At 38.2% G+C, this 19,047-nt stretch overlaps 1 protein-coding gene across 2 annotated transcripts in view; it reads right to left on the bottom strand.

Moving 5' to 3' along the window:
* Nucleotides 1-13,350: 13,350 nt before the first annotated feature.
* The window catches only part of TMPRSS11A (transmembrane serine protease 11A), a 54,099-nt gene continuing 48,402 nt past the window's right edge, over nt 13,351-19,047 (bottom strand). For both annotated transcript variants that reach the window (NM_001114387.2, NM_182606.4), the window contains exons 9-10: nt 18,544-18,686; nt 13,351-15,459 (exon numbers count right to left, since the gene is read on the bottom strand). In NM_001114387.2, the coding sequence (NP_001107859.1) occupies nt 15,298-15,459; nt 18,544-18,686 (305 nt within the window). In that variant the 3' untranslated portion in view covers nt 13,351-15,297. The remainder of the gene's footprint in view (nt 15,460-18,543; nt 18,687-19,047) is intronic.

Raw genomic sequence — 19,047 nt, forward strand, 5'->3', positions numbered from 1 at the left:
GGGTTGCCACTGCTGGTTGGGGCAGACTGCCTTTATTCTCTTATCTGGCCCCACCCACATCCTGCTGATTGGTCCATTTTACAGAGAGCTGATTGGTCTGTTTTACAGAGAGCTGATTGGTCCATTTTGACACGGTGCTGATTGGTGCATTTACAATCCTGGAGCTAGACACAAAAGTTCTCCAAGTCCCCACTAGATTAGCTAGATACAGAGTGCTGATTGGTGTATTTACAAACCTTGAGCTAGATACAGAGTGCCGATTGGTGTATTCACAATCCCTTAGCTAGACACAAAGGTTCTCCAAGTCCCCACCAGATTAGCTAGATACAGAGTGCTGATTGGTGCATTTACAAACCATGGGCTAGACACAGGGTGCTGTTTGGTGCATATACAATCCTCCAGCTAGACATAGAAGTTCTCCAAGTCCCCACTAGACTCAGGAGCCCAGCTGGCTTCACCCAGTGGCTCCCCCATTGGGGTTGCAGGTGGAACTGCCTGCCAGTCCCCTGCTGTGCGCCCGCACTCTGGCGGTCAATGGGACCAGGCGCTGTGGAGCAGGGGATGGCACTCATGGGGAGGCTGGGGCCGTGCAGGAGCCCACGGTGGCAGGGGTTGGGGGTGAGGCTCAGGCATGGCAGGCTGCAGGTCCTGAACCCTGCCTCGCAGGGAGGCAGCTAAGGCTTGGAGAGAAATCAAGCACAGCGCCAGTGGGCTGGCACTGCTGGGGGACCCGGCACACCCTCTGCAACTGCTGGCCCGGGTGCTAAGCCCCTCACTGCCAGCGGCGGCAGGGCCGGCCGGCCACTCCAAGTGCAGGCCCACCAAGCCCACACCCACCCGGAACTCTAGCTGGCCGGCAAGTGCAGAGCGCAGCCCTGGTTCCCGCCTGTGCCTCTCCCTCTACATCTCCCCGCAGGCTGAGCGAGCCGGCTCTGGCCCCTGCCATCCCAGGAAGGGGCTCCTACAGTGCAGCGGCGGGCTGAAGGGCTCCTCAAGTGCGGCCAGAGTGGGCGCCGAGGCCGAGGAGGCGCCAAGAGCGAGCGAGGGCTGAGAGGGCTGCCAGCACGCTGTCACCTTTAACTATATTAACCATTTTTAAGAATAGAACACGCTGAAATCTTTACAGTTGATTTCATAATGTTCACATTATCTTGATTAATAAAAATCTTGTTAGAACACTCATAAATAGACTAATGTGGCTCTGAGGAATTATTAACTGCATTTAAGTATATACAGTTATTTAAATATGTACAGTTAATAATTGTATTTAATTATATACAGTTATTAATTTCTCAGAATTAATTATTTTCTCTAGATCAGGGTATGTAGGGTTGCTTAAGTGGACTGCAAGTCAAACACTGCAATTCAAAGTATTTGTCCTTATGATCACGTTAGTGTTTCTATTTGGAAATGCTGCCTTTGTTTTGTTTTACTAGAAGGACATAACATGTCCTTCTAGATCTTTAGTCATGTAAACCTTTCGTTGAACTTGGATTTTTCCTGATTTGGCTCTGGGGATCCTCAAGGGAAATTGTATTAAGTATGTTAAGGCAAACTATTTCAATAGCACCTTTCAAAGTTGGTGAAAATTTGCTTAGCTCTGTTTTTAAGGATTCATGCTATTACATTGGACCCACTCAGATAACTTAGAATTATCTTAACTACATGTTAATACTTAATAGCCTTATTTACATCTGCAGAGTTCCTTTTGTCAGGTAGCATAACACATTCATAGGCTTGACACTGGTGAAACTAGATTATCAGGAATTGGTAAGGGAAACTTTTCTCTGGGATATCTAACTTGAGAATTTGAGTCATTTTGCTCCCAGGCTCCAACTAATACAGATGATGCCTCAAAGGTAGCTGGAGAATTGCTATGGATAATAGTGTCTAACAGAATGCCAGAACCTCCTGCAATGGCCCTGGAGGGCCCAGAATTCAGAGGTGGTTTACTTCATGAGGACAGTAAGTCAGGGAGCTGCTCAACCTATGACTTTTTCTGTGCTATGATGCTACCATAGTTTAAACCACACAAAGTATTCAGTAAGTTATGCAAAGATTTTCAAAATACTACATAATATCATCTAATGTGCCCAAACCAATAATGCTTATGTCAAGGCTAAGGACAGATGAGGGTAATCTGAGAAATCACTCTCTTTTTCTGACTGCGGAAGCCTACTTGTTATCTTTGATTTTTCCTACTAACATTGGTATGACATTAGCAAGGAGGTCTCCAACATCCTCATGAAGCTATTAGATACTGCAGTGACCCTCTCTCTGCATCATCACCATCAATTTCCACAGAATTTTAAGCTACATGATATTCAGCTATTAAATTATTTAAGAAAAATACCTTTGGTTCCTATTCTCTGTTTATACCTATTGAACAAGAATTTCAATTTGATTATTACAAAAATTTCTGATTTTATGTTTTCTTTAACAATAAAATTCAGCCACAGAATTCTTCAGCTATAGAAGAGTTAGTTCCCTTATTCTAACTCCCTGCATGCCTTCATCCAGAACTCTATATTCTCCTTTTATACTCCTCTATATTCCACCACATCTCCAAGGGCCTTTAAGGATCTGGTAGCTTTTTGAAAAAGACAGATTTTGGCTGGTCGCGGTGACTCACACCTGTAATCCCAGCACTTTGGGAGCCTGAGGTGGGCGGATCACGAGGTCAAGAGATCAAGACCATCCTACCCAATCTGATGAAACCCTGTCTCTACTAAAAATACCAAAATTAGCCAGGTGTGGTGGCGCACGCCTGTAGTTCCAGCTACTCACGAGGCTGAGACAGGAGAATCGCTTGAACCTGGGAGGCAGAGGTTGCAGTGAGCCGAGATTGTGCCACTGCACTCCAGGCTGGCGACAGTGAGACTCTGTCTCAAAATAATAATAATAATAATAATAATAATAATAATAATAATGATAATAATAATAATAAATAGATTTTATTTTTCAGAGCAATTTTATGTATGTAGAAAAATTAAATGGAAAGTACAGAGAGTTTCCATATATCTTCTTACCACATCACATGCACAGCCTCCCCTACTATCAACATTCTGAACCAGAGTGGTACATTTGTTCTAATTGGTAAAGCTATATTGGTATCATTATCAACCAAAGTCTATAGTTTACATTAGGGTTCACTCTTGGTGGTGTACATTCTATGGGTTTTGACATGTGTACAATAACATGTATCCACCATTATATTATGGTACAGAGTAGTTTCACTTCTCTAAAAATCCCTGTGTTCCATCTATTTATCCTGCCCCACCCAGCAACCCCTGACCACCACTGATTCTTTTAAAATTGTCTTCTTTCACTTAGTAGTATGCATTCAAGGTTTCCATTGTATTGCCACAGTTATTTTTTTAATCCATTATCCTACTAAAGGACACCTTGATTACAACTTGTGATAATTATAATGGCTATAAACAACTATGTGCAGGTTTTTGTATGAACATAAACTTTCAACTTATTTAAGTAAATACCAAAGAGAGTGATTGCTGGATCATACATAAGAGTATGTAGGCCAGGCACGGTGGCTCACACCTGTAATCCCAGCACTTTGAGAGGCCAAGGCGGGTGGATCACAAGGTCAGGAGTTCGAGACCAGCCTGACCAACATGGTGAAACCCTGTCTCTACTAAAAATACAAAAATTAGCTGGGCATGGTGATGAGTGCCTGTAATCCCAGCTACTTGGGAGGCTGAGGCAGGAGAATCGCTTGAACCTGGGAGGTAGAGGTTGCAGTGAGCCGAGACTGCGCCATTGCACTCCAGCCTGGGCAACGGAGTGATACTCCATCTCAAAAAAAAAAAAAATATGTTTAGTTTTGTAAGAAACTGTCAAACTTTCTTCCAAAGTGGCTATGCTGTTACACATCCCCTTGATAGCTTTTTTTTAAGCACTTGGGAAATCTATAGCCCAATACAGGAGTGCCACCAGCATAGTCTCTGGGATACCAAGATGAGGTGCAAATAGCATGTCAATAGTGTGTAAATAGTGTGTAACCTTAGGGAAGACTGCTGTGTAGAGTATATTCTTTGAGGGTTCCTCTGGCCTTTGCCAGGGTCTAGAGGGCTGCTGAATCGGTCCCTCCTAAGTGCTGACAACTATTAATATTTCTCTTGTAACTTGGAGCTTCAGTTTCCACTCTATCCACATCTATTCATTCTTTCACAGTTCTCGCCTATGCCCAGTTCACTAAGAGCTCACTCTGAGTTATATCTACCTATCTCAGAAACATTAACCAGAGGCAGAAAATCCAAGTGTGAGTTAGGTTCTCAGCTAACTACTGTTTCTGCCTACTTGGAAGCAGAAGGGAGAAGTCACTGCAGTTTAACTCACTTCCTAGCTCAGAAATGTAGCAGACACATTTAGGTCTTTTAATGAATAAACCTAAGATAGTATCTTTAACTTTTCCATCCTTATTTTTTCCAATAATATTGTTACTTTATTATGCCTGATTTTACCATTTGTTGGTCTAAGAATTAGCCTTTAAATGCCCACATTCTTTTGAAACTATTCTCTAAGTGGGTTTGGATCCAGATTCCCTTCCCTACCAGTTACAATCTTCAGATTAAAAATGTGTAAAATGGCTTTTGATCGGGCTTCTCTCTAAAACTTGACCTCAGAAATTTTAACATTAGCTCAAAATACTAAGTTAATACTAGCTCAAAATACTAATACTACATTAGTTCACATATAAGTGGTTTTTCAGTTACCGAGTCTTTCTCTAAGTTTGGATGTTTCAGGCACCTCCTTATACGGAGAGTGTTGATACTCTCACTCACTGTTTTCCAGTCCTTTGTTAGCTCACAAGACCCAGATCACTTCCATTGGCATATTTTTTGGATTGACATTTAGTATTTTTCCGCTTTATTTTATTTAGTGACTTCTGGTGTAGGAGGAGTCTCTTGAGTTTAGAAAATATCAAAACAGTTTAAAAAGTTAGTTTACCAATTAAATCCTGATTACAAATGGAAATAAAAGAATAATGTGTTATACAGATAAGCAAAATCTATGAGCAAAATATCATTTTAAAAATCAATTTTAAAATACCTATTTCTATTAGCTTTTAAAAATAGATATCATGTGTTATTTTTAGTTTTATCTCTGTTGTCTCCCATTAGACAAATTCAACAAGGAAGGGCCTCAATCAGAGGAATATAATCATGGATATCGATCATGGTCATTTGGAAGTACTCAGATATGTGAAATCCATAAGAGAAACAGGAAGAAAGAACACTGGTAAATCAACTAAAACCAAAAAAGGGAATGTGAACTGTTGCAAGGCTGAGGTTTGCTTTTGGCCTTGTTTCCAAATATACCTATGGATTTGGAGTATGCTCATGTTAGGGTTTTTTGGGGAAAAGTTCATCAGTTAGAATTCCATGTATGAGTACCACAATTTTTTTTTTTTTTTTGAGATGGAGTCTCGCTCTTGTTGCCCAGGCTGGAGTGCAGTGGCACAGTCTTGGCTCACTGCAACCTGTGCTTCCTGGAGTCAAGTGATTCCCCTGCCTCAATCTCCCAAGTAGCTGGGATTATAGGCGCCCATCACCACGCCTGGCTAATTTTTGTATTTTTAGTAGAGACGGGGTTTCACCATGTTGGCCAGGCTGGTCTCGTACTCCTAACATCAGGTGATCCACCCGCCTCAGCCTCCCAAAGTGCTGGTATTACAGGCGTGAGCCACCATGTCTGGCCGAGTACCACATTTTCTTTATCCATTTATCTGTTGATGGACCCTTAGATTGCTTCCAAATTTTGGCTGTCGTTCGTGAACCATGCTACAACAAACATGGGAGTGCAGATATCTCTTTGATATACTCATTTCCTTTTTTTTTTTTTTTTGGAAGGAGGGCATATACCTAGCAGTGGGATTGCTGGATTATATGGTACCTCTATTTTTAGTTTTTTGAGGAACCTTCAAACTGATCTCCATAGTGGTTGTACTAATTTACATTCCCACAGTGTACAAGGGTTCCCTTTTCTCCACATCCTTGCCAGCATTTGTTATTGCCTGTCTTTTGGATATAAGCCATTTTAACTGGGATGAGATGATATCTCATTGTAGTTTTGATTTGCATTTCTCTGATGACCAATGACATTGAGCACCTTTTCATATGCCTGCTTGACACTTGTATGTCTTCTTTGAGAAATGTCTATTCAGATCTTTTGTTCATTTTTAAATCAGATTATTAGATTTTTCCTGTAGAGTGGTGTGAACTCCTTATATATTCTAGTTATTAATCCCTTATCAGATGGGCAGTTTGCAGATATTTTCTTCCATTCTGTGGGTCGTCTTTTCTCTTTTTTGATTGTTTCCTTTGCTGTGCAGAAGGTTTTCAACTTGATGTGATCCCATTTGTCCATTTTTTGCTTTGGTTGCCTGTGCTTGTGGGGTATTATCGCTCAAGAATTTTTTTTGTCACCGGGTGCGGTGGCTCATGCCTGTAATCCTAGAACTTTGAGAAGCTGAGGCAGGTGGATCACTTGAGGTAAGGATTTCGAGACCACCCTTACCAAAATGGTGAAACCCCATCTCTACTAAGAACACAAAAATTAGCCAGGCATGGTGGCGTACACCTGTAGTCCCAGCTATTGGGGAGGCTGAGACAGGAGAATTGCTTTAACCCAGGAGGCGGAGGTTGCAGTGAGCTGAGATCATGCGATTGCACTCCAGCCTGGGTGACAGAGAACGACTCTGTTCCCCCGCCCCACCAAAAAAAAGAAAAAAAAAACAAACTTTTTGTCCAGACCAATGTACTGGAGAGTTTCCACAAAGTTTTCTTATAGTAGTTTCATAGCTTAGAGTCTCAAATTTAAGTCTTTAATCTATTCTGATTTGATTTTTGTATATGATGAGAGATGGGGTATAGTTTCATTCTTCTGCATATGGATATCCATCCTAGCATCATTTATTGAAGAGACTGTCTTTTCCCCACTGTTTGTTCTTGGTACCTTTGTCAAAAATGAGTTTACTTTAGGTGTGTGGATTTGTTTCTGGATTCTCTATTCTGTTCCATTGTTCTATGTGTCTGTTTCTATGCCAGTACTATGCTGTTTTGGTTACAATAGCTCTGTAGTATAATTTCAAGTCAAGTAATGTGATTTCTCCAGTTTTGTTCTTATTGCTTAGGGTAGCTTTGACTATTCCAGGTCTTTTGGGATTCCATATAAATTTTAGTATTGTTTTTTCTATTTTTGTGAAGAATATCATTGGTCTTCTGATAGGGATTGCATTGAATCTACAGATTGCTTTGGATAGTATGGACATTTTAACAATATTGATCCTTCCAATCTATGAACATGGAATATCTTTCCATATTTGGTGACTTCTTCAATTTCTTTTATTAGTGTTTTACAGATTTCATCATAGAGAACTTTCACTTCTTCAGTTGAGTTAATTCCTAGGTATTTAATTTTATTTGTGGCTACTGTAAATGGAATTATGTTTTTAATTTCTTTTTCAGATTGTTTGCTGTTGGCATATAGAAATGCTACTAATGTTTTTGTGTTGATTTTTGTATCTTGCAACTTAACTGAATTTGTTTATCAGTTCTAATGGTTTTTTTTGGTGGAGTCTTTAGGTTTTTCCAACTATAAGATTATATCATCTGCAAACAAGGATAATTCGACTTCTTCCTTTCTAATTTGAATGCCCTTTATTTCCTTCTCTTATCTCATTGCTCCAGCCAGGACTTCCAGTAATATTTCAAATAACAGTGGTGAAAATGGGCATCCTTGTCACGTTCCTGATCTTAGAAAAGAGACTTTCAGTTTTTCCCCATTCAGTATGATACTAGCTATGGGTCTGTCATATATGGATTTTATTATGTTGAGGTATGTTCTTTCTATACCCAGATTTTAGATGATTTTTATTATGAAGGGATGTTGAATTTTATCAAATGCTTTTTCAGCATCAATTGAAATGATCATATGGCTTTTATCCTTCATTCTGTTGATATAATGGATCACATTAATTGATTGCATATGTTAACCCATCATTGCATCCTAGAAATAAATCCCATTTGATTATGATGAATGATCTTTTTAATATATTGTTTAATTTGGTTTGCTAGTATTTTTGCAGGATATTTGCATCAATATTCATCAGAGATATTGGCCTGTAGTTTCCTTTTTTTGGCTAGTCTTTGTCTGGTTTTGGTATGAAGGTAATTCTGCCCTTGTAGAATGAATTTGGAAGTATTTCCTTCTCCTCTGTTGTTTGTAATATTTTGAGTAGTATTGGTATTAGTTTTTCTTTAAGTGTTTGGTAGAATTCAGTAGTGAAGCCATCGGGTCCCAGGCTTTTATTTACTGGGAGATATTTTATTATAGCTTCAATCTCATTACTTGTTATTTGCCTATTAAGGTTTTAGATTTCTTCATGGTTCAATCTTGGTAGGTGGTATGTGTCTAGGAATTTGTTCATTTCTTCTAGGTTTTCCAACTTATTGACATATGCTTGCTTATAGTAGCTGCTAATGATCCTTTGAATTTCTGTGATATCAGCTGTAATGTCTCCTTTTTCATCTTTGACTTTATTTATTTGAATTGTCTGTCTTATTTTCTTAGTCCAGCTAATGGTTTATCAATTTTGTTTATCTTTTCAAAAAACTAACTTTTTGTTTCATTGATTTTTTTGTATTTAAATTTCATTTTTTTCTGCTCTGATCTTTATTATTTATTTCCATCTACTAATTTTGGGTTTGGTTTGCTCTTGCTTTCCTAGTTCTTTAAGATGCATCATTGGTTGTTTATGTGAAGTTGTTTTTTTTTGATGTAGACACTTATAGCTATAAACTTCTCTCTTAGTACTGCTTTTGCTATATTTTATAGGTTTTAGTGTGTTGTGTTTCCATTATCATTTGTTTCAAGAATTTTTTTTAATTTCCTTTTTAATTTTTAATTTCTTTAATGACTCACTGGTCATTCAGGAGTGCATTATTTACTTTACATGTATTTGTATAGTATGTATTTGTATAGTTTCCCAAATTCCTCTTGTTATTGCTTTTTAGTTCTATTCTATGGTGGTCAGACAAAACGCTGGATACTATTTCAATTTAAAAAAATGTTTTAAATGTTTTATTTTAAGCTGATAACAATTTAACACTGTTTTCATAAACAAACAAACTAGCCAATACAAAACTAACAAAGACTTTATGCCTTAATTTAGTTCCCCTGCTTTTTAACTTTTTATTGTTTCTATTTATATCGTATTGTACTGTCTTTGTCTTGAATAGTTATTGCAGTTATTGTTTTTGATTGGTTCATCATTTAGTCTTTCTACTTAAGATAAGAGTAGTTTACACACCACATTTACTGTGTTATAATATTCTGTGTTTTTCTATGTATTTCCTATTATCAGTGAGTTTTGTACCTTCTTGTCTCTAATTTTATTAACATCCTTTTCTTTCTGATTGAAGTACTCCCTGTAGCAATTCTTGTAGGACAGGTCTTGTGTTGATGAAATCTCTCAGCTTTTGATTGTCTGAGAAAGTCTTCATTTCTCCTTCATGTTTGAAATACATATTCGCTGGATATACTCTTCTGGGGTAAATATTTTTTCCTTCAGCACTTTAAATATGTCATGCTACTCTTTCCTGACTGGTAAGGTTTCCAATGAAAAGTCTGCTGCCAGATGTATTGGAGCTCCAATGTATGTCATTTGTTTCTTTTCTCTTGTTGCTTTTAGGATCCTTTCTTTATCTTTGACCTTTGGGAATTTGATTAGCAAATGCCTTGAGGTAGTCTTCTTTGGGTTAAATTGGCTTGGTGTTCTGTCACCTTCTTGTCCTTGGATATGGATATCTTTCTCTAGGTTTGTAAAGTTCTCCATTACTATCCCTTGAATGAAACTCTTCTACCTCTATCTCTTTCTCTGTTTCCTCTTTAAGGCCAAAAACTCTTAATTTGCTCTTTTTAGGCCATTTTCTAAATCTTGTAGGTGTGCTTCTTTTTTTTTTTTAATTCTTTCTTCTTTTGTTTCATCTGATTGAATTTTCAAATACCCTATCTTCAGGCTCACTAATTTTTTCTCCTGTTTAGTTACTTCTGCTATTAAAAAACTCTGATGCATTCTTCAGTATGCCAGTTGCATTTTTCAACTCCAATTTCTAATTATTTCAATCTCTTTGTTAAATTTACCTGATTGCATTCTGTATTCCTTCTCTGTCTTGTCTTGAATTTCTCTGAGTTTCTTCAACGTGGCTATTTTGAATTATCTGTTTTAAAGTTCACATATCCTTCTTTGTCCAGGATTGGTCCCTGGTGCCTTATTTTGTTCATTTGATGAGGTCACATTTTTCCTGGATGTTGTTAATGCTTGTAGATGTTCTTCAGTGTCTGAGCTTTGAAGAGTTAGGTATTTATTATAGTTTTCTCAATCTGGGCTTATTTGTACCCATCCTTCTTGGGAAGGCTTTCCAGATATTTAACAGGACTTGAGTGTTGTGATCCAAGCTCTATCTGCTTTAAGGGGGCACCCAAGGCCCAGTAACACTTTGGTTCTTGCAGATTCATAGAGTACTGCCTTGATGGTCTTGGAAAAGAGCCGAAAGGATTCTCTGGATTACCAGGCAGAGACTCTTGTTCTCTTTCCTTACTTTCTCCAAAGTGAATGAAGTCTCTCTCTGTGTTCTAAGACACCTGAAACTGGGGATGGTGTAACACAAGCATCTCTATGACCAACACTACTAGAACTGTGCTGGGTCAGACCCAAAGCCAGTACAGCTCTGAGTCTCACCCAAGGCCTGCTATAACCACTCCCTGGCTATGACCTATGTTCATTCAAGGCCCTGGGACTCTACTATCAGCAAGTGGCAAAGCCAGCCAGTCCTGTATCCTTCCCTTCAGGGTGAGTTCCCCCACCCCTGGGCATGTCCAGGGTGCCTTCTGGGAGCCAGGGACTAGAGTCAAAAATTTTAGAAGTCTACCTGACTTTCTATTGTACTGTGCCTGAGCTGGCACTCAAACCAAGAGATGCAGTCCTTCCCTTTTCCAAAGGCAGAGGAGACTCACCCCATGGCCATCACTATCACAGGCCCATGGGAGTACTGCCAGACTACTATTGATGTTCCCCTAAGGCCCAAGGGCTCTTTCGTCAGCATGTGGTGAATTCTGCCTGGCCTGAGATTCACCCTTTAGGGTGAATAGGCTCCCTTCTGGCCCAGGGAAGGTCCAGAAATGCCATCCAAGGGTCAAGTCCTAGTTGGAGACCCCAAGGGCCCACTTGGTTCTCTATGCCCCTGTGGCCAAGCTAGTACCGAAAGTGCAGGACAAAGTCCCCTTTGCTTTTCCCTCTGCTGTTCTTAAAGGAAAGGAGTCTTGTAGCCACCACAGCTGGGAATATGCTGAGTCTCATCTGAGCCCAGCCCATCTTAGAGTCTTACACAAACCCTTCGACACATTACCTAGGTATTGCTGCTGGTTCTTCAGGGCCCAAGGGCTCTTTCGTTACGGGGTGATGAATCCTGCCAGAACTGGGTCCTTCCCTTCAAGGAAACAGGGTCCCTTCTGGCCCAGGGTGTGTTTAGAAATATCATCCAGGAGCTAGGACCTGGAAAGGGGGCCTCGTGACTCTGACCCGTGCCCTATCCTGCTGTGGCTGAGCTTGTATCCAAGATGCAAGACAAAGTCCTCCCCACTATTCTGTCCTCTCTCCTCAAATGGAGGGAATGATTCTCTTTTGGGGCCATGAGTTGTGCAGCCTGGGCTTAGGGGAGAGGTGATGCAAGCACTCTCTCAGCTGGTCTCAGTAGGTTACATGTCCTCTCCAATCCACTCTCTCTGGGCCCAGTTCAGCACTGGGACACACCTAAGTGTTTCAATCCTTGTTGCCTAGCCTGCCTGTCAAGTTTATTTGGAACCGCAGTGCACTTTAGCCCGTGGTGGTGAGGCTCGCAGGAACACAAGGCTGGACCACTGGGGTAGATTATTCTCCTCTGGTTGTGGCTGGTTTACATACTCGCTCCATGGGTGGGTGTCAGCTGAGTTTAGTCTGTGTTTGTTTTCTGTTATAATAGGGCAGCACTGAGTTTAGTGCCTCAAAAATACTGTCATCTCTCTCTGCCTAGCACGCCAAAATATTCTTTGCACCACATCACTGCTTCCAGGGTACGGGGGAGGCATGGTGCCAGTGATTCAGGACTGTTTCTCCTACCTTTTCAGTGCCTCTTTCAGTGATATAAAGTTAAAACCGGATACTGTGAGTTCTCACCTTATTTTTGGTTCTTATGAAGGTGATCATTTTGTGTAGATAGTTGTTAAATTGGTGTCCTTTGGGAAGGGGGACAATCAGTGGAGGCTTCTATTCTGTTATCCTGTTCCACTCCTCCCCAAATGAATGTTAATAATACACTAAATGCTCAGACTTCACCACTGTACATATATCCATGTAACAAAACTGCACTTTGTACCCCTTAAATTTATACAAATAAAAAATATAATAGTGAATGATTATTTGAGAACATTTATTGGCATTGCCGGTCATGATTGATTAGATTGTGGAATCAATTTATTCGACGGGGTAAATGTTTTTTTAAAAGTAGAATAGAATTGAGCAGCATAGAGTACAATAAAGTAGAAAATATTAGATTTCCTTGCATTTTGTAATGGTAAGTATTGTTTTATGAAACTTCTGTTTCAATTTTTGTATGTATTTGGTTGTATATGTAGGGAGCTGTGATGTAAAATGTATTTCCTACTGTGGATTTTGGTCAAGGTAGAGGGTGTTTTTCATAAAGCCCTGTCTTCATGGAAAACTTTAATGGTGCTCTATGACTATACTCTAGTTCAGGCAGAAGCATAAGACAAATTCTTTGAGGACATTACGTGCGGGGAGATCAGTCTGTATTTGAAACAGCCACAGACTGAAGCACCAGTCATGTATTCTGTTATTTCTTTTAGGAACATGATAGTGAATGTTCAGCTTGATCAGAAAACTATAGTTTCTGAATATTTGATGTCATGACTTTGAGTCATCTCTCACATTTCTAAAAATGATCAAGTGAATCCAGAATAGTGGTTCTCAAAAGGGGACAATTTTATACCTTAGGGGACCTTTGCCAATGTCTGGAGATATTTTTTATTATAATAATTTGAGAAAAGGGGTATGCTACAGGCATCTAGTGGGATGCTGCTAAGTATTCTGCAATGAACAGGAGAGCCCCTTACAATAAAGCATTATCCAGATCAAAATATTAATAGTGCCAAGTTTGTGAACTCAGCTTCAGAGTGATCCAAACTAGTTATTTAAAAGAAATGTGATTTTAATGACAGTTGAAAGATTCATGATACTGGCCTAAAACAAACTCAGTGATATTGTTTGTAGAATGCTCTGATCACCAACTTTATTAGATTAAAAATGACATATCAATATCTGCTTACATGTGACCCAAAATGAAATGCTGCACCAAATAGTTTAAAAATACAAAGTTCATAATTCTAAGATCATTTCCTGAATCTGAACATCCAAAGTCAGCATTAAGTTTTACCACCATAATATAGAATAATTTATATGCCTATGTATATTTATATATGAAGAAGAAACTTTGTCTTGAAGTGAATTCAGAGAATTGGCAGCCAGCTGCCTAAATGAATCTCGTCATTTAAAATTCTTATCTTAAGAGTTTTCTATCTTAATACAGGTTCAATAGCTCTCACTTAAAATTTTACAGATCTGATGATTCAATAAAAATAGTTAAGAATTCAATAAAAATAGTTAAGAATATACTCATATTCTTAAACATAACATAAGTATATTGGCCTATGTGACATGCAATCTCTTCTCAGCTTTAAAATTCTATGAGTCTAAATTATGAATCAAGTGTTTTATGAGTGAACTGCATATCTCTTTTAGATATTTTAGGATTATTTTCATGCCTTCTCAATAGCATGTGAGGGAAATTATTATAAAGCAAGTTCATCGTTCCAATGATTTGTCTTATATTTGGGCTAAATGAGTAAATGACTCCCCAGCCTGCAGACCATAATATTTCACAGGCATTGCCAAGCAGAATAATTGCTTCCATAAAGCCTTAATTTAATTGTATTACGAAATACATGAGCCTTACTCTCCTAATGACTTCAGGAGACACGTTGCTGATGGAGTATGTTTTCTCTTGTGGACCACATATAACAAAGTGGTCCAAAAGAGAAAACATACTATATGTTATATGTTATAGCCCCATGTGTTATATGCAGTAGGTGCTCAAATTTTATATTTATTTTCAAATTTTTCTAAAACTAGGGTTTTATGATTGCAATAGTTGGGACATTGCCATAAGCCTTATAAGCTATTTGGCTGTAGCAATGCGAGGGCATAAAATTTTTCTTGCTACGGAGGAACATAATGTTCTTTGATTTTTCAAGGTATTAGTAAATGCTTATTTTTTTCAGGCATTTAACCCTACAATAATAATGCACAAAATTTCCCCCTTGTGGTCAAAATATGTAAGTGCATCTGTGAAATGTCAAATTTCTTATGCCGGTGTTTTGGGACTAATGAAATTACCATCACCTTCTCCCAAATTTTTAACAAATATATAGTTTTGATTAACTAATCACTCTATCTATCTATATATAATTCATTAATCGGGATTTTTCTGATTATATCTGTAGGATAAGAATATCTATGTGACTGTATGTGTGTGTGTGTGTAGAAAAGTCACCAAAAATTAGAGGTTTTATAACTAAAAAAAGTTAGAAGATCTCTGGCTTGTTTTACTATCAGACTTTGTTTCCTACATATGACTTTCTTTTATTGGTGTCTCTCAAATGGGTGTAGAAGTAGAAAATTCATTTCTTATGGTGGAAAGGTACTTTGGAAAATCTGATTGAATAAGGAAAAAGAAAAAAAAGTATTTGTGAGCTCGAGAGAAATGTAGGGAATTATACAAGGGTTTCTTGAACACTTTGTGAGTTCAAAAAGTTTCTCAGTTAAAAGGAGACCCTTGACAACGACATTCTAAAAATCCCATGGACTATCTTCAAAAATATGTATTGAGTCTCACTGGTACTTCAACATTCGTGATTTAAAGAGCTAAGTATCTCTACCGTATTTTTCAAGCCAGATCCATTACTTTACAAATAAAAGTCCCTTATAAATTGGCTAAGGATTATTGGTTGATTAAAGTGATTCTAAATAACTTACGTTGTGTGTTTCATGTTACTAGATCCAGTAATTTAATATCACTTTGTTGTACTACACCCACTAAATAGTTGAATTCTCATGCATATATGACCTGCATACAGCTTTCTTTGTTTAACTTTTATCGTGAATTAGATGCCTGTTTTTGAAGCAATCCAGTTTCGGTAATAAGTCACTTGTGTGTAGACTCCAGGCTTGTCCTTTTGACCACAGTTATCTCCCCAGCTTACAATTCCAATGAGATACCACGTATCTTTCAGATCCCTTGTGACTAAAGGTCCCCCAGAATCACCCTAAAAATAAAAACATAAGAAAAAAGAAAGAAAATTAGCTAAACATAAAGCTCATTATTTAAGATATTTTGATGAATCACATATTTTGTTACTAGACAGTACATGTATAGACTATCAACACAGAATAATTAATTGAGACATGGATTTTAATATTACAAAGAGCCTTAAGGTTCAACTTTCACATTTAAAAAATAAAATTTATTTTGTTAGAGTAAACAGCACTTAGTTAAAAAAGGCAAAAACGAAAAAACATGAAGAGGCTTGAAAAGCAGTTATGTCCCATGTTACCTCACGCAAGCTGTTCTCCAAGAGGTAGCCACTTCATGCTTGTTTAATGATTTCTTATAGTATCTAACTCCTTATCACTAGATAATATGCTCAAATTACAGCTTCTAGGTTTAGACAGTAAATATTTATTTTCTCTTACGTAGTTAGGGATTTAGTTGTTTTACAACTTCTTTGCAACTTTTCCACACCACATCTTTACATTATAGCATCTCTATTTTTGGTTAAATTAACAGCCTACATTTAGTACCAGTGTGTAAATTTTATTAATTGAAGAGTCAAGTAACATATTTGGATTACAGAAATCTTTTTTTGCTTTCCTAGAATTAATAACACAACTCTTTTTTTCATGTGGATAGTTTTCTATGTACCTGGTAAATGCTGAATGCTCCAAAAGATCTACCAACACCTCACAATAATGTTTACTAATGTTCAAGGACATCAGATAGCTTGTTAGTTCTTTTACTTCCTCTGAAGCTGTTCCACCATATCAACACACACACACACACACACACACATACACACATACACATACACATACACACAATCTTTTCTTACTTCTGCTCAAATTCGAGCTGGTTACTTTAAGCCTGGTGCAGAGCTATGGTGTTGGGATTATCTGATACCACTCTTTAGTGTTGGACTAACAGTTTCAGGTCTTACGTCTTCCACTTTCTTGATTTATTCCCTCATTTTGCTGAGGTACCCTCTCAAGTAGTTTCCTAAGAAGTAGGGTATCAGAAGTACATTTTTTTCAGTCATTGCTTGTCTAAACTTCTTAATTCCACCCTCACAGTTGATATTTAGTTAGCATGGGTAGGAATCTAGGTTGAAATAATCTTCCCTTTGAAATTTGAATGTGTTTTCCACCATCGTCTACCTTCTAGAGTTACTGTTGAGGAGTTCTATGTAGTTCTGATGGTTCTTCCTTCAAAGTTTTAAGATTGTTCTCCTTATCCCTGGCTTCTGACCCTTTATGATGGTATGTCTTGGAAAGAAGTACTTCATTTATTGTGCCCAGCACTACTTGGACCTTTTCTTCAATAGGATGCATGTAAGCTTCAGAACTAGGAGCATTCTTTATTTTTTTTTATATTGTACACTCGCGTTTTATGTTTTCAGAGCTCCTATTCATTTGGTGTTGGATCTCCTGAGCTTATCCTCTAGTTTTCTTAATTTTTCTGATTATTTTTCTCCTCTGTGTCTTTTTTGTTGTTGTTGTTCTTTCTGAGAGATTTCCTTGATTTTATCTTCCAATCCTTCCACTGGATTTTAAAAATTATGATTATATTATTGCTACATTTCCAGAGGTGATTCTTACTGTTTGGTTCTAGGGTATGGAGCTAGAAACCAGATTGGAAGCTCTGTGCTTTTGTGCTGGGTGGTGCTATGGTTTGAATGTGAGCCCAAGAGTTCATAGGTTGGGGAAACTTAATCTCCAATACAATAGTGTTGAGAGATGGGACTTAAGAAGAGGTGATTAGGTCATGAGGGCTCTGGAGAGAAAGACTTATGGAGAAAGACGAGGTGTTGGTGGTGCTTGCACTTCTGTTGTATCAGACTAGGCCCCTCACCATGTGCCCCAATTACAATCACTGTATTCCTGTCTTGGATCCTTGTACCTGAACCGCTGCCCTGATAACTTACTGTATTTTTCTATGACTAAAGCCTTGTTTTATCACTTACTTTGCACAGTTAGGCAGCAAGTTTACCTCTGCTCCCCAATCCAGTGAAGCATCTCTATGACCACCAATCCCTCCTAAGGCTTTTCAGTAATGTCATGGTTCACCTGAATTCCCCGGTCCTGTCTGCTCCAAGACTCCTGCACCTTCCACCTGTTCCCCGTGGTATGGACCTTTTGTTGGAATCCCTAAATTCTGCCTGCCTCCCTCCACATTATTAGCAACCGAGGCTGGCTGTGGACCAGATCCTGCTTTTGCCCAGCCTCTATGTCACATAGGTCCCTGCTCCTTTTCTGATAGAGGTCGCACATGTGGTACAGTTTGTGGGACTCTGGACAGGACTTTCTGCCACCTGATATCAATACCATTCCATCATTTCCACATAGAGTGGCCTCCTTAGAGTTCTAAAGTATCTCATGTTAAAAAGCAAGTGTCTCCAGGAAGAAACGTACCTTCGCTGGAAAACATCCATGTTAGAAGGCAGATGAGGGCACTGGGGAGGGCCCATGGAATCACAACATGGCCTAATCCACCTTCTCATGGTTATCTACTTGTTTCTCTTCTCATCCTCCTCATGCTGAGACCCAACCAATTACTTGGAGTTCCCTCAGATATGAATTGTAATTTCACACCTTCATAATTTTGGCTATGCTTTTTGTCTTTTCTATAACATTATTTTCTTATTCTGAAATTGGATGTTATTTATTCTTCAGGCCTTATTTACGTCTCATCTCTCTGATACTTGTTCCAAAAATGTTTCCTTCAAGAAAAATATTTGCTTTTCATTATATTATTCATAACATCACTTTATACTTCTCTGTTTATGATTATTTTCTTTCTTGAATGTGAGCCGCTTGAGAAAATAAACTGCTTTATTAATCTTTGGATTTCTGGTTAAGAAATTCTAATTTTGTTTGTTTGATAGCATCAGAGAAACTCTTACTTCATTTATCTTAATAAAACATTTAAAAGTATTTTGTGCTGTGAAATTTGCATTTGTAACTTTTTTGAGCTGACATGATATCTATGTTTTGTCCTTATGTAAAGAACATATAATATATTCTGAGCCAGATACAAATTTTTGAGTTAGTAATATAAAAAAATCCCTCCAACTTACCCTGCAGGCATCATAAATTCCTTCCATATATCCGGCACAGAACATTCCAGGTTTTATATCATTGCCATACACCTGTGGTTGCTTGCAGACATCATCACTTATGATTTTCACTCTGGCTTCTCGGAGATCATTTTGGGATTCCCCTTAAGGAAAAATAGAGTTATTCTAGTATTTACAATCAGCATCTTTGGCTAGAGTGAAGTGAGCAGACTTTCCTAATATTTTTTTCATGGTAAAATTGTCAATACAGAATGAAGTTAATATAAGCAGTTTCTAGAAAAAAGAATTTCTGGTTAAATCTGGCACATCTAACGATAATTATTGTCCAATCACATTTTTATAAAAACTTCTCAAAGCAAGAAAGCCATTTGGATTCTTTTTCCTGGAAAATCTAACCTTAAAAATAATCAGCTTATATATTTCAGGAAGGCCTTTTATCTTTTGTAAAGCTTTTATTTGTGGGTTCCAGATTGTTCCCAGAAACTCTGCATGCCTAGATGGTTT

Source organism: Homo sapiens, chromosome 4 (assembly GCF_000001405.40).
Source record: "Homo sapiens chromosome 4, GRCh38.p14 Primary Assembly".
NCBI lineage: Eukaryota > Metazoa > Chordata > Mammalia > Primates > Hominidae > Homo > Homo sapiens.